The sequence below is a fragment of the Homo sapiens genome, chromosome 10 (genome assembly GCF_000001405.40).
Source record: "Homo sapiens chromosome 10, GRCh38.p14 Primary Assembly".
Classification (NCBI taxonomy): domain Eukaryota; kingdom Metazoa; phylum Chordata; class Mammalia; order Primates; family Hominidae; genus Homo; species Homo sapiens.
Genome location: NC_000010.11, coordinates 48,645,244 through 48,661,512, shown reverse-complemented (window position 1 = coordinate 48,661,512; position 16,269 = coordinate 48,645,244). Strand labels below are relative to the sequence as shown.

The following is a 16,269-nucleotide window of genomic DNA, read 5'->3' as shown; positions in this document are numbered from 1 at the left end:
GAGAGAAAAAAGGATGGACTTGGGTTGTATCTTGGAAATAGAAGTGACTACAAGGCTTACAGAATAAGTCATCAGATAAACTCAAGAATGACCCCTACATCTTTTGCTTAAAGTTAACGTGGGTGGCAACATTTATTGGCATGGAGAGGAGAAACAAGCTTGGGACAGATTGGAGCATATGTTTCGAACGTGTTACGTGTGAGATGCCATAGGGTGAGGGTAACGGAGCAGTCAGAAAAGGATGCCTGTAGCTTAGAGGTGAGCTCTAGTCTCGAGACTGAGACTCATCAGCACAGATGGTGTTTTAAAACTGTAGGAATGGATAAGATTACCTGGGAGAGAAAAGGCTCAAGTCTAAGACCTGGGAACCCTCAACAGTTAGAAATTGTGTAGAACATTGAGAACCCATTTCCCCTTCAAAGCTAAATTTAGGAGAGAAAATAAAAGCTGAACTGTCATCACATGCTATCTTTTTCTTAATTCTTTAGTTAAATTTTCAGTTAATTAATTTACAACCTTTCTTATTTTCTAATGTACACATTTAATGCCATAAATTTCCTTCAAAGTACCATGTTAGCTGTGTACAACAAGTCTTAAATTGTGGTTCTATGTTGCATTTGATTCTAAATATTTTGTAATTTCTATTCCAATATCTCCTTTTAGACACAAATTACAATGTATTTTTCGGTGTTTAGATGTATGATTTTTAGATGTATGTTTTTTAGTCTTCTTATTGTTGTATAATTTTATTATATCAAGGTTAGACAACATTGAGTAATATTGATTCTTTAGTGTTTATTTATTGAACCCTCTTGTGAAGTGGTACATGGTCAATTTCTATAAATATTCCATGGGTACAGGCTTCTACATGTATCTATTATATTAGGTTTTCTTAATGCATTGTTCAAAATCTCTTTCTCTACTAATTTGTTGCTAGTGTTCTACTTGGTCTATCAGTTTCTGAGAGTGTTATCATAAAATTTCCACTAAGATTGTGAATTTTCAAATTCTTCACATTATGTCACAGACTTTTATTTGTTTTCTTTCCTTCCAGGCTATGTTGCTAGGTGTATATAGGCTCAAGATTGTTGTATCTCTATGAATTGTTTCTTTTATAATCTTGCAATGACAATCTTTATCCCTAATAAAGATTTTCCTTAGTCTGTCTTGTCCATATTAATATGAGTTCACTACACTAGTTTTATTTTAATTCCTATTTGTCTCACATATCTTTTTCCATTCATTTATTTTCAACATTTCTGTGTTCTTATATTTTAGATGTCTCTTCACAAGCAGCTACAACTGGATTTTTAAAAATTCCAACCTAAGTACTTCTGTCTTTTAATGTGTGAGATTAATCTGTTTACATTTACTACTGTTACTGATAAATTTATGGCATTTATACCTATTTTTATCTTCTTCTTTTGTGTTTCTATTTATCATAATTTTTGTTTTATTGTTTTCTCACTTCCCCTTCTGTTGAATTGATCGGGATTTTTTTTGTATGCAGCCCCCTCTACTGGTTTAGAAGTTATATATTCTACTTCTATTCTTTGCTTGTTATTCTTAACATTTTTAACATGAATACTTTACTTTTAAATGCCTACCACTGCACTATCCAATACAGTAGGGCCACTAATCACATTTGAAATTAGATCAACCGAGCACTTAAATGTTCAATTTTATTTAATCTTAATTTAGAAATTGATACACAATCCAATTACTAAAAACGCATGTTTAGAACAACTTGAAAATCTTTTTTTAACTCTAAATTTTGTAAACTCTAAATACAGATAAAATATTTGCAGCAGAAATTTAGTATCCAAATTGGAATATGCTATAAATGTAAAATATGCACCGGATTTGAAAGAGTTGGTATAAAAAAAGGAATACAAAATGTTTCAATAAATAATATTTATAAATGATTATATGTGGAAATGATAGTATTTTGCATATATTGCCCTAAATAAAATATGTTATTAAACCAATTTCACCTGTTTCTTTTTTAATATGGCTACCAGAAAGCGTTTAATTATAGACGTGGTTCAAACTATATCCCTGTTGGACAGCGCTGACCCGGAGTAAAAACCGCAAGTGCCCAGGAGCCTTAATGTCCCGATTCTCCCCAGTCTTCTCTTCCAGGTGACTGTGTTCAGTGTTAGTTACTGTATGGTATGAATATTCGTTCCACCTCATCCTTAACACTTCCACCTTGGTTACTCCTCACTCACGCAGCATGGTGCTCTGGTTTACCAAAATGTTTGCCAGTTTCTCGGTCATCTCTGCACCCAGCTTCCCGTGCCTCCTTCATAGGTCAGCTCTCTTATTCCAGTTTCCGAGGCCACGCTGCAGGCTGCATTCTCTCCCAGTGTCACCGAGTACCCAGGCCCTGGACAGAGACCCCCTGCCATGGTGCCACGGACTCCACGCCTGCTCCACTGTGGCTCCTCCAGCTGAGGGGGGCTGCCATGTGCAGGAGCCACAGGAGGCTGGCCCAGCCCGAGTGCAGACAGGAAAGGGCACTCCAGGGACGCACTCGGCTCAGCTCCACACCCTCCATGTCCCTGTGGCTCCAATTCATAGTGGGAATAGGGATGGGGCAGCACCTCGTCCATCCCCTTAATCCCCTCCCAGAAAGTACATCCGTTTATTCCGGCCACAGCCTCTGGATCAGAATAGGGGCTTTAGCGTCCCCGTGGTGTAGGCCCCACCTGACCAGGGCTGAGGTCAAAGCATCACCCTCTCTCCTGGGGTGTCAGGGAGCCGCTCCCCAACTCTGGTCCTCACAGACATGTCCCAGTCCGGTGGCCCAGGGCCGGGACCAGGGTGAGGGGAGAGGGGCGCTCATTGCCCCTTAAAATTTGCACCCAAGATAACTCACTTGCCTCACCCTGTTCCCAGCTGTGTACCCACAGAAGCATGTATTTCCTGTGAGTGTTACACAGGTGACTCCCCTGGACGTCCTGAAGCGGACAGAGCCCCTCTTCAGGACATCCTCTGTCCCCGTGCTGGTCATTGCCGCTGGAAAACCCAACAGCTCAAGTAGTGTGCTGAGGGCGCCACCTCGTGGCTTCAACTCTCAACTGCAGACAGGATTACTCTACTTTTGTGAATCAGCTCCAGGTTTCTTCTTCCAGTAATGTGACCCTTTTCAAAAAGAAGGTGGAAACGATCCCTAGGTTCCGGCATTGACTGGCTTAAATATTTAAGCACGTGAAACAACAGATAGCCCTGCAATGCTTATAACAACTAGAAAAAAACAAACAACGTCGCTACGTAAAAACAAAAGTACCCTAAGAACTCTAATTAAACATGATCTGCAGTGTGGTTCTGGCAGAATTTGACCACTGGCGTAGGATGATGGCTCAGTGAGCGGAGATTTCCAGAAGACCCTCTTGGCCAACCTCATTTCCAGGAGCTTCCAAAACACTAGATCCCTAGACACGACCCTAGTTTCATGGAAGCCAGGTAGCTCACTGATGAGGACGGATTCCCAACTGCTGACTAGGGTTGTAGGTCCCCCTCAGCCACCTGGGAGGACAGAGGAAGGGCCCAAAGGGAAGCCACTCCTGGGAGCCTCACCCCACCAGGGTCTAACTAAATATTAAAGGCAGTCGTGTTCGCTGTTCCTTGTCGCCAACTTGATTTTAAACACTCAGGTAAACTCAGGCACTAGGTCACCTGGGAGTATTTGATTATAAGGTGTTCATCCCAATGGCTTATATTTTAATTTATCATGTAAATTTAAATGCAGAATATCTTTCAATGTGTGAGAAACCTGGTTTGAGAAGCAAACACTGCCCTACCTTCTGCTGCTGCTAATGATGGACGAAGCAGAAGACACAAGCACTTCCAGGGCCCCTGCTAAAGGTTGCAGCTGGAACACACCATCCTGGCCATGGGCATGAGCATGGTGTACTTAATGCGAGCTGGGCACTTAGTTAAGTGCTCTGCCTGACTTTCCTCGCTTCATTCTCTAACAGACCCAGGGATTCAGCAGTATTACTATCCTCACTTTATACATGAGGAAGGGGGCTCAGGCTCTCTGAGCCCCCTAGAGACCCGGCTAAGAAGTGTCCGAGGCAGGAGTCAAACTCCATTCTCTGGCTCCTGAGTTCTGTTCTTTCCACCGAAGTTCGTGCCTCCTCCCCCAGCAAGCCTGGAGAGTGAGTGAGCCCTCACCAGGGCACAGACAGAGAAGGTCTGGCACACTCTTTTCAATGGAGCCCCCTATAGCTGTGGAGACTGACGGGGTCCAAGAACAGGACGCTATGACCTTGCTTCTCAGGCGCCCTGAGCTCTGGTGCTGTGGCAGACGTGTGCCTCCTTACCTCTGCCAGCTCCCACTCTCCACCACGGTCACCCTGCCCCACACCCGGGGTCTCCAGGGGCAGGCAGGTTACCACAATGCTTCGGGTGAGTGATGGCCCTGAGGCTGGACTGACCCAGCTCTACCCAAAGGCTGAATCAGGCTCTCCAAGGCTATCAGCCCATGGCTAACCACCCTGCCTTGGTCAAGGACAAGAGTGCAGGTGATTCCAGGTGAACCTTGACGCTGAACCCAGGTGAGCACGAGGCCACTCCACTCTCGGGGAAGGATCTCTCTGCCCAACACAGACTCTGGAAGCCAGTTCAACAAGAGCCACCTGCCTGCTTCCTCTGCTTTGACTTTCAAATGCCAGCCATGCTGCGTGTGGCTCTGGGACCTTGGGGAATGCGCTGACCCTTTGTGACCGTAGTTTCCCAGTCTACGGGCGGTGTAGGCGCCTTGGGAAGTAGCTCCGATCCCCCTCGGCAACCTCAGGGCTCCTCCCCTGCTAGTGATTTCTCCAGCCCCCACTCTCTCCCCATACTTAAGACACAGAACTGGGCCAGCTATGCAGAATTCACCTGCTCCGAGGAAGACTCAGTATAGAAAACCCTCTAAATCCCACACGCCCTGCCAACAGCACAGGGCGCACAGGACGGTGAGCTACAGATGAGGCTCGGGCGAGATGAGGTTGGGTAACCGGAAGCCAGGCGGGAAGGCGCAGCGAGCGGTCCGGGCACGCAGGAGGCCGCCTCCCCGAGGCCCGCCAGGGGGCGCCGTGCACCAGGGCCCAGGAAGTCGCCTCCGCCCGTGGCGCCACCCGCGCTGCCCGGCAGGGGTCAGCCTCGCCCGGCCATCCCCGACCCGGCTGCTGCACCCTTCTGACTCGCTGGGACCGCCCGCTGCGCCGCATCCCCCCCCCCCGCCCCCCCCCCCCCAGAGGCGCCGAGCAGCCGGGAGCTCCGTCCTGCCTGAGGATGCGGGGCCCAGGCTGCATCCCCCCGGCCCTGCTCGCCTGCTCATCACACGGAGGCCGGGGACAGGGTCACGGCCAGGGAGCCTGCGGGGCTAAAGGAGCGGGCCGGGAGCTCAAGAGCTGCCGCCGGGCGGCGAGGAAGGAGCCCCAGGCAGGCCCCGGGCGGCCGAGGCAGGGGAGGAGACGGCTGGCCCTGGTTCCAGGTGAGCAGCCCCGCCCGCTCTGCTGGAGGCCCCGCTTACCACCGGCGGGAGATGCGGGTGCAAGCCCTGGGGCGCACGTGGCCAGGCCACTGCCACGCCCGAGGGACGGGTTTTCGTCGCCACCTCGGCCCTGGTGAACCCTGTGACTGGAGTGCCTCCCAATCCCACCGTGATGCCCACCTCGGGGCGCTGCCAGGTGCCAGGCTAATGCGTGTGATCCACAGTGTGCTGAGAAGTGCTGACTGTCATTGTGAATGTCCGTGGTGGGGTGACGCCCGGGCAGGGTGCACTGGCCTGGTTCCAGAAGACCTGGCCTCTCCAGCTCCCACGGCGCGCCCGTTTGCTGCGTGGCCCATGCTGCTGGCGGCTGCTCCTGGCTGAGTCATTCCAAGACGAGCGTCCAGTCCGCGCTCTCTGCCGCCCTTCCCAGCGCTGCCCGGCAGGCCCCGGGAACTGTGCCCAGCTGTGCCCGCTTAGCTGGTGTATGACCTGCCTTTGAACTTGCTGCAAAGAAAGGTGGGTGAGGGAAAGGCGAGGGCTGGGGTGAGGGACTGGAGAGCAGTCTCCTGTCCCTTCTCCCCCTGAGGTCACTGTCCTCCAGCTGGTGGGCAGAACTCTGTCCCAAAGCCTTCCAAAGGAGAGGCCCACGCTGTAGGACCTTGTCCCCACTATAGGCTGAGGTTGGTAAAGGTCACAGAGGTGGTTCCTGATAAAAATTCCCTAACCAGAGGTCTCCTGATGCAGCGTCCCCCGCCCCCCCCCCCCCCCACACACACACACACATCCACTCTCCATGGTGTGGGTGGAGGTCAGTGAGGAGAAGGGACCTTCCCCGGGCACACACGGGCCAGTTCGTGGGAGGGGCCTGAGACAGGAAGGAGATTGAGTCACCGAGCTGGCCAAGAGGAAAGAGAAGAGAAGAGAAGAGAAGAGAAGAGAAGAGAAGAGAAGAGAAGGAGGGAAGGAAGGAGAAAGAAAGAAAGAAAGAAAGAATGAAAGAAAGAAAGAAAGAAAGAGAAAGAAAGAGAGAGAGGAAGGGAGGAAGGATGGAAGGAAGGAAGGAAGGAGAAAGAGAGAAAGAAAGAGAGAGAGAAACAGAGAGAAAGGGAGAAAGGGAGGAAGGGAGGAGAGAAAAGAAAGAGAAAGAAAGAAAGAAGGAAAGAAAGAGAAAGAAAAGAGAGAGGAAGGAAGGAAGGAAGAAAGAAAGAAAGAAAGAAAGAAAGAAAGAAAGAAAGAAAGAAAGAAAGAAAGTAATCAGCATGTCCAAGGAGAGGAACTAACATTCCCCCTCTCCCTCTGTCTCTCTCTCCCTCTCTCTCCTCTCATACAGCACACACTTAAACACACACACCACACCAGCGGGGCAGTCTCATGTATCTTATCCTTAGGGCAACCTCACTGTGGGCACTGTATTTTGAACCCCTTCTCCCCAACCTTGGTTGCAGTGCCTGGCATCCACTCTAGCAACCACCTCTTTTCCATACCAGCTGAGGTGGCTTTTACGAAGCCAAGCCACCCTATTCCTGGGATGAGACCAGGTTGGCTTTAGCCAATCAGCACATTGCATTGGTTTGGGTGGTTCAGGGATGGGTGAGTGGACCAACCAAGGCCATGAGGCAAGAAGAGATGTTTGGGAGAGTAGGGAGGGGCAGCTTCCCAGCACTTCTGAGAGAGACACTGGAAGATAGGCTCTTTCTTTGTGTTGGTCATGAAAGAAAGAGTATTAGTTCCTGAAGCGAGCTGGTGTCCAGCATTTTTTAATAATGAGGGGACTTTGTTGAGAATGAAGCAGGCATTCCAGAAGCAAACAGGAGAACTGGAAAAAAAAACCCAGACTTGGTTAACATTGTCAAGCTGCTGGATCCAGCCATGCCTGAAGTCCATATTATGAGGGCTTTCCTGCTCAAGGAGCCAATAAATCCCCTCTTTTTAACTGACTTTCTTATTGTCTGCAATTGAAAGTTTCTTACCTGGTGGTATTTTCTTTTTTGATCAAAGAGAAAATGGATATTCAGAAGGTATACGTTTGCCAGATAAAATACAGGATACCCAGTTAAATCTGAATAGTGTTTCAGGTCAACTATACATACCTTTTTAGCAGGTATTATGTCCCACGCAATATTTAGAACACAGTTACACTGCAAAACTAACTGGGCATCCTACACCTTTATTTGCCAAATCTAGCCCATGTCTAAATTCCAAGCACTCGAAAATGGAAAACCTGGACTTTGTCCTAGAGTTTTAGTTCCAAAGCCCCCTGTACACCAGGTCGTGGGATGGGCTGCTTCCTCTCACTCCTCTCTGCCTCTGTACCTGTGGGCTCTTATCAGCCTTGCACTCTGGCCTTTGCAACCCAAATTACTGCTTGCTTTGTTGCAAGGACATGCTGGCACCTTGGGTTTTGGCCCTTGCTGCTCTCTTCAAGCAGTTGAGTGCTCGCCTGCTGCCTCCTTCTGCTTCCAGCTATCCCTGGTCACTCCCCAGAGGCTCAGTTTGGCCCCGTTCTCTGTGCTGTTCCAGCGCTCCCTTCTGAGAACATTAGCAGCAGGAACTGTCCACAGATCCCCAAGGCATGGGCCAAGATGACATTCCCCCAACACACCCCACTAAGCGCTGTCCCGCAGCCCAGGGTGCACCTTCCTGCAGTGGTGACAGCCCCAATTCCTGCACCCACAAGCCCAGGTGTAGGAAGGATCTAGCCTGCACTGAGCCACTGAGCACTGGCTATGCTTGTTTTATCTTTATAGCAGTGATTGGTTTTTAACTGCTTTTATGCTCTCTGCAATTGAAAGGTGTTTCAGGTCACTATCAATAAATGTGATGCAAGCTCAATAGAACAGAGGAGACAAGGAGGGTGCTAGGAAGAAAATCCTGATGCATGCCCTCCCAGGAGTCACTGCTCCATCTGAATCAATGCTGCCCTCATTTAGATAACATTGTATCCACCGCCTTGGAGCCTGCCTTTGCCTTGGACTGCCAGGACCACTATGTCAATGATGCTGATGGCTGCATAAATATCGCTTGGCTGTTTCATAATTGGGATTTTTCTTTTTGATTCTCCACAACTGTAAATTATGCTGTAATGATGCTAAATTTCCAGAAATGGAATGGAGAAGCCATGCCATGAGCAGCCTGTGTGCCTGGTGAGGGTCTCACATGGGGTGCTCCTGGGCCTTGACTGTCCCTCTGTGGGACTTGCTCTCCCCACTAACAGGACTGCTGTGCCCACCAGACAAAGGCCATAAATGCATCCTGGAAGTCACTGCAAATTTGCAGTGTTGTTTGTACTTATTTCTAAGGCTTTCTGGAAACCCAGCTCCCCTTGAATCCAGGTCAGCTCATGGAAAAAAAATCAAATATAGCATCCGATGTGTGCTGAGGGCTTTGCTCACAAAGCCCCTTCTTTCCACTTCTCAATTCTTTGTTCTGTGAAGTGGTTGTCACTATTGTTCCCATTTTACAGATTTGAGGAACTGATACCCCAAGACCCCGTGACTTTCTCAAGGCCATTCCAAGATCCCTAGATGCACTTACGCTTAATGAACTAATTCTTCACAGCGAGGCTTCTTGCTTAAAATCCAAGAAAATACCAGATAAAGGGCATTCTAAATATATTTCTTTTCTATAGATGTGGATCTCCTGTTACTGGAAAACAGGAATTAGCTTGTCTGCTTGAGGATGTGGTTGGTTCTTTATAAAAAGGATACAGAAGAAATTTGCACAGACTGCCAGCTTCATTATGCTGCCGACAGCTTCCAGCAAAAGGAGGACGTTTGCAGCCAGATATTTCAGTAAGAATTTTTTTATGTTCTATGTGGGAAATGATTACCTTTGCATTTGACTTCTTGCTTGAGGGATGGGGTCCCCGGAGGCTGTCTTGGTCTTGTGGCTGAGAGCACCAGGCGGCATCTGTGGTCAGGGTTCTGACCTCCTTCAGCTCCTGGAAATGGCTGATGGCACAAACCCCACCCCTGAACTATGGCAGCTGCTCTGTGTCTGCCTGAAAAACAGAGACTTCAGGGTCCTGGGCTCTAATGACTCAGGGCTCTGATTGCATTCAGAGTCTGTAAGGACTCCTATGTCCAAGGACCGCTGGGGCAGTAGGCAAGTCCTTCACAGGGGAACGCTGTGTGCAGCTGAAGGCTACTCTGCATCTCTGCTTGGAAAGGATCCAGCCAAGGGGCTAGTAGAGAAATAGTGAGGACATCTCAGTAACCCTCACTAAAGTGTCTGGGAGGTAACTATTAGACCAAATGGGATGGCTGTGACTGTCTGTTTGGGTCCCTCAGTAAAGTGCCTGGGAGATAATTGTTAGACCAAGTGGGATGACTGTTTGTTTGGGTCACAGGCAGGTGCTCGCTGGGTGGGCTGTGCAGGTGAGGATTGGGTGGATTGTGCAGGTGATGGTTGGGTGGGCTGTGTAAGTGATGATTTGGATGGGTTGTACAGGTGCTGATTGGGTGGGTTGTGCAGGTGCTGGCTGGGTAGACTATGCAGGTGATGATTGGGTGGATTGTGCAGGTGCTGACTGGGTGAGCTGTGCAGGTGAGGATTCGGCTTGTTGTGCAGGTGCTGACTGGGTGGATTGTGCAGGTGCTGGCTGGGTGGACTATGCAGGTGATGATTGGATGGGTTGTGCAGGTGCTGGGCTGCATGGGCTGTGTAGGTGATGGTTGGCAGTTGCTAGTCAGGTCATATGCATGACCTGATGGGCTCAGTTATGAGATGATGTTGCCTGAGCCCCTCCAGGACTGGTAAAGATTGGAAATTCTAGAAGCTAGTGGGTGAAATGCAGTCATGGACCTCAACCTCCACATTAAAATCACCCAAGGTGCTTTTAAAAATTCCCAGGCTCCCCCTCCAGAGATGCAGGTTTAATTGGTCTTGGATGAATCCAAGATATCAGCATATTTTTAAAGTCCCAGGTGATGTGATGTAATGTAATATGCTACCAGGTTCAGGATATAGTGGACCAAGCCCAGGGTGGGCTCAGACTCCACAGAGCCCCTTTTCTGTGGTCTGAGTAGATATTCATGGGGTGAGGAGTAAAGCTCTGTGTTCATGAAGAACGGAGTGGGCTAGAAGCCAGGACCCCTGGGCCGGCCTCGTGCTGCAGACACTTCTCACACTGTCAACTTCCCTGGATCTCACTTTCCACAGGAGAAAATAGGGGGTGGGGGAGCAGCTGAGATTAACCTTTAACTGTTCAAGCCTAATACCTAATATCTCCAGGTATTATTTTCCCTGTGCTAGGTTTATTGCATTATCTGGCTTGGAAGGAACAGTCACTTGCTTTTGTAGGAGGTTCCAGCCACCAGATTTCTATGATGAAATAAATTCTTCCCCAGATTCATAGCATAGGTGCAAATCCTTTGAGAAAGGGACAGAGGACATACTGCATGACATACCTGAACTTAATGAATTTGATTGAATTAATGTCTTTATCAAGATGAAATGTATATAACATGAATTTAACCATTTTGAAGTGTAAAAGTCAGTGGCAATTCATACATTCATGATGTTGTGCAACCACCAGCTCCATTTAATTCCAAAATTTTTCCATCACCTTGTACCTATTAAGAGGTTGCTCCCTCTTCTCCACCCCATGCAAACATCAATCTGTGTTCTGCCTCCATGGATTTTCCAACTCTGGATTTGTCATGTAAATGGACTCATGCAATATGTATCCTTTTATGAAGCCTCGTGTCTGGCTTCTTTCACTTAGCATAATTTTTCCAAGTTTCATCCACATTCATTCCTTTTGAGACTGGATTAATTTGTAAATGATTACCTAATCTCAAACACTTTGACAACTCTAAAAATGGACTGGCAATGCCATTTCGTGAAAGGCTGCAGAAAAAAAAAAAAAAAAAAAAAAGAGTCTCCAGCACAGGGGGAGGGGGCTTCCCCTCCCCATCCTTGGTCTCTCGGTTAGCACCTCTGTGTGTTTATCTTTCTTCTCTCCACCTGCCACCTCCTGGTCTCTCTCTCTCTCTCCCTCTCTCTCTCTCTTTCTCTCTCTCTCCCTCCCTCCCTCCCTCCGTCTTTCTCAGCTAATGGAGATTATTGAGAAACTTAAGTTTGCTTTTAACTGTCATTTTCAAGGATTGAGGGCAAATGAAAGGTCCTTATGCGTTCAATTGTACTGCTATGCTTCATTTCTTCACTTTGTCCACAATCTTGCCACATCGAGAACCTACCAGCACTTTCCCTCCAGCAGGAGCTGGTGGTGAGCCTCTTGGCCTCTCACTTGGTGAGTTCTGTGCTAAAAGTCTCACCCAGCAGTGGGCAGCACCCTCAGCTCCATCACTGTGGGCCTCAGCTCCTCCTAGGGAACTCTCCTGCCAGCAGGACTAGCTGCAGCCTCTTTTCTCACCAGCTCCCAAACTTCAGACCACTGGTCTGCCTGGTTGTCTCCCAAGACTGCTGGCTTCTCCCTGTCTGACCCTCCTGGCACTCCCCATGCCAAGAAGCCACTGTGCCTCGGGATCACAGTGGAGAGAAAGACGGTGGCCTCTGCCCATACCCAGCCAGAGTGTCCAAAGAGAAGGAGAAGGCATCTCTGAATCCAACCACTCCTTCAAGTCCCCAAATCCCTGACCTGCACGCTGGGACCAAGGCTGGGAGCAGCCTGGGGTAGGGAGGCTCCTTCGAAACCCTCTCCCACGCCTCCCTGACTCTGTGGTTGTCCTCACCTTGGCCTTTCCCAGAGCAGACTCTCTCCCCCACTGCTGGCAGAGATGTAAGGGGATTGTGAGAACCCAGGTAGGGGGGCATGACTGTGTCCTGAGAGAATAGGGGACTTAGAGAGAGGGGCGCTGAAGCAGTTGGAATGGGGTAATAAGGGAGGAATGGTAGGTGGATGCCATATTCAGAAACTTGGACTTGTTCTCGTGAGGCATAGGGAGCTATTGATGGTTATAAGCACAGGACTGATCTGATGAGAATGTTCATAGGAATAATTGCATGGCAGCGGGGCGAGAGGTCGGCTCTCACCTGGATCTTTGCAAAGGATCCTCCCCATTGCTCTTCTTCTTCCCACCCTTGGCCCTTCCATCTCTCCATACTGCACAGAGCAAGACTCTTTCAACCTAAATCCAATCAGCACTGTCACATCCATGGGCATCCATGTTGCTCAACACATCCATATGGATGCCCAGGCCACTTACCTCTGTCGGCTGCCTGCCCTCCTCTGGCACCCGCCTTGCCCATCGTAGGATCTGCTGCCAAGCACCCCACGCTCCCCCACCCCGCTGCGCCTGCTCTGCACCAGCAGTGCCGGCCTCCCTGCTGCTCTGATGTTTGCATGATCTGCCCACTCTCCGGACCATTTTCCCCCCAGGACAGCTGCCTGGCCTACAGACTCACCTCTTTCAGACTTTTACCCAAAGCTTTTATTAAGGCTTTCTCTGACCACCTGTGTGAGTCTGAATGGGATGAGTTACACAACCACCGGGTCACCTGGGTGAGTTGAGGGGTGGATCCTGCCCTGTTAATCATAGTGACTTAAAGACCCAGGCTGATGCTGCCAGACCAGAGGCCCGAGAAACAGTGAGCTTGTGAATGGTCTCACGTCAGCAGTTAAATCCTCAGCCGGGAAGGGACACACATCACACTCTGCTCACAACTCTGTCCCACACTAATCACTGCCCCAATCAACTGCAAGGGGCCCAGGAAGTGCAGTCCCACCACATCCTGGGGGCCTGGAGATTTTAATGACTGCAGTAATTGAAACCCTGCCCTGCCTTCCCATACTCCTTTCCCATCTTTTTTTCTTCATGGCATTGGTTATTATCATATTCTATGTATTTCAACAGCCTTATTGATATGTAAGTTACATGCAATAAAATTCACCCATTCGAGGTTCACAGCTAAATTATTTTAACTACATTCATGGAGTTGTAAAACCATCATCACAATCCAGTTTTAGGGCATTTCCGGCACCTCAAAAAATTCCCTCAAGCCCATCTGCAACTAACCCTTCCTCCCAACCCCAACCTAAGGAAACCATTGATCTGCTTTTTGTCTTCATAAATGTGCCTTTTCTGGACATTTTCTATAAACGGAAGCATAAACTGTGTAGTGTTTTGCATTGGGCTTCTTTCATGTAGCATAACGTTTTGAGGGTCATTCATGTTCTCGTGTGAATCAGTGATCAGTGTGCTCCTTTGTAGCTGAGTAATACTCCCTTGTAGGGATGCACATTGTGTTTCTCCGCTCACCCGTTGATGGACTTTTGGGTTGTTTTTGGATTGGGATTATTACGAATGATGCTGTTATGAGCATTCACATGCATATGCTTCTGTGAACACACGGCTTTCATTTCTCTTGCTGGGTCGTATGGTAGGTTTATTTTTTAATTTTTAAGAAACTGTCAAAATGTTTTCTGAAATCTCTGTACCATTTTACATTCCCACCGTCATACAATCCCACCTCATACATAAGGGTCCCAATGTTTCCACATCCTCACCAACACTTGCTATTGTTTTATTATAGCTATCCTAGCGGGTGTAAAGTGGTATTTTATTGGGGATTTGATTTGCATTTGCTTAACCATTAATGATGTTGAATGTACTTTCCTGTGCTTATTAACTATTCATATGCCTTTTTATTTCCATTTTTATATTTTTTGATACTGAGTTTTGCTCTTGTCGCCCAGACTGGAGTGCAATGGCGTGATCTCGGCTCATTGCAACCTCTGCCTCCCGGTTCAAGCGATTCTCCTGCCTCAGCCTCCTGAGTAGCTGGGATTACAGGCACCCACCACCACGCACAGCTAGTTATTGTCTTTTTAGTAGAGACAGGGTTTCACCATGTTGGCCAGGCTGGTCTCAAACTCCTGACTTTAGGTGATCCACCCCTCTCAGCCTGCGAAAGTGTTGGGATTACAAGTGTAAACCACCAAGCCCAGCCTGTTTGTATGTCTTCTTTGGTAACATGCCTATTTAAATTTTTTGCCCATTTTTAAATCAGGTTGTCTGTCTTATTAGAGTGGTAAGAATGTTTACATGTTCTAGATACAAATCTATTATCAGATATATAATTTGCCTAAATTTTCTCCTAGTCTGTGGCTTGACTTTTAATTTTCTTAATGGTGTACTTAAATTTTAAAGTGCAAAAAATCTTAATTTTGTCGAAGTTCAGTTTTTCTATCTTTTCTTTTATGAATCATGCTTTTGATATGGTATCTAAGAGTCCACCTAACCCAACATCACAAACACTTTCTCCTGTGTTTGTTTCTAGAAGTTGTATGGTTTTAGCATCTACATTTAGAGCTAAGACCAATTTTGAGTTAATTTTTGTATATAGTATGAGGTACAGTCAAAGGGTTGTTTTGTTGCTTGTTTGTTTGAAGGGTTTTTGTTGTTGTTGTTGTTGTTGCTGCTGCTGTTTCGCTTATGGATAGCCAATTGTCCCAACACCATTTGTTAAAAAATTTTCCTTTCCCCACTGAATTGCCCAAGCTCCTTTGTGAACTATCAGCTAGCCACAAATATTGGGGTTTACTTCTGGATTCTCAATTATATTCTATTGACCTGTAGACCTATCCTTGTGCCTATACCATACTATCTTGATTACTATAACTTTGGAGAAAATGTAAAAATAGGTAGTGTGTAACTTTATTCTTTTACAAAATTATTTTGCCTATTCTAGGCCCTTTGTGTTTTTATATAAAATTTCAAATTAGCATGCCAATTTCTCCACCCCATAAAATGTTTCTGAGATTTTGATAGGAATCACATTGAATTTGTAGATTCATTGGAAGATAATTGCCATCCTGACAATATTGATTCTTTAACTTCATGAGAAAGAAATGTACTTCTAATTATTTATATCTTCTTAATCTTCTCTCAGAAGTGTTTTCTGCATGTCTTCACATCATTGTTAAATTTATTTCTAAATAGTTTATTCTTTTTGATATTATTGTGAATGGTGTTGTTTTCTTAATTTCATTTATGGAGTTTTTGTTGCTGATGTGTAGGTATACAATTGATTTTTGCTATGTCCATCTTGTATTCTGCAACTTTGAAAAACTTATTAGTTCTAGCAGATTTTTAAATTAGTTCTTGTGATAATTTTCCAAACACAGTATCATATCATCTGCAAATAAAGACAGATTTTCTTCTTCCTTTCCAATCTGGCTTTAAATTTTTCTCTGCCTCTCTTCCCCTCCTTCCCTCTCCCGACCCTCTTTTTTCCCTTTGTCTCTCACTGTCTATTGTACTGGATAGAATAATACAGTATATTGTTGACTAGAAGTGGAGAAAGTGGCTACCTCTGCCTTTGTCCTTATTTTAAGGGGAAAGCATTCAGTATTTTCATGGTTACATATGATATTGGTCTCTGGGTTTGTCATAGATACCCTTTAACACATTAATTTCCCTTCTACTCCTAGTTTGTTGAGAGTTGTTGTTTTTTAAAATCATGAATGGCTATTGGATTTTGTCAGATGCTTTTCTGCATCCATTAGATGATTATATGGGTTTTGTCCTTTATTCTATTTCTATTAATAAAATATATAGATGTGTAATAGATGTACAACATTAATTGATTTTTTCAGGTGTCAAACTAATGTTACATTCCTGGGATAAATCCCATTGATTCATGGTGTATAATCCTTTTTATATCTTGCTGAATTTACTTTGCTAATATTTTGTTGAGCATTTTTATGTATGTTAATGAGGGATATTAGCCTGGTAGTTTTCTTTTTGTAGAAGGTCTTCATCTAGCTTTAATATCAAGGTAATACTGGCCTCATAGAATGAGTTGGGAAGTGTTCT

General features: G+C 46.5%; 1 protein-coding gene across 18 annotated transcripts in view, besides 2 other annotated features; it reads left to right on the top strand.

Moving 5' to 3' along the window:
* Positions 4,638-4,707: an enhancer, noted in NCBI's record as "active region_3334". NCBI's record gives its function as "activates an Ori minimal core promoter by ATAC-STARR-seq in GM12878 lymphoblastoid cells {active_cell/tissue: GM12878}" and the evidence as "EXISTENCE:reporter gene assay evidence [ECO:0000049][PMID:35858748]".
* Positions 4,958-5,547: a silencer, noted in NCBI's record as "silent region_2358". NCBI's record gives its function as "represses an Ori minimal core promoter by ATAC-STARR-seq in GM12878 lymphoblastoid cells {active_cell/tissue: GM12878}" and the evidence as "EXISTENCE:reporter gene assay evidence [ECO:0000049][PMID:35858748]".
* Positions 5,248-16,269, top strand: part of ARHGAP22 (Rho GTPase activating protein 22) — a 226,435-nt gene continuing 215,413 nt past the window's right edge. For 13 of the 18 annotated variants that reach the window (NR_045675.2, XM_024448100.2, XM_011540013.4 and 10 more), the window contains exons 1-2: positions 5,248-6,004; positions 9,117-9,279. Coding sequence is in view for 17 of the 18 variants with exons in the window: in XM_024448100.2 (XP_024303868.1) it covers positions 9,228-9,279 (52 nt within the window). In the remaining variant the exon portion in view is untranslated. Of the gene's footprint in view, positions 6,005-9,010; positions 9,280-16,269 lie in introns of those variants that run through there. The other 5 variants (NM_001347738.2, XM_011540003.2, NM_001347736.2 and 2 more) reach the window with 2 other exon arrangements.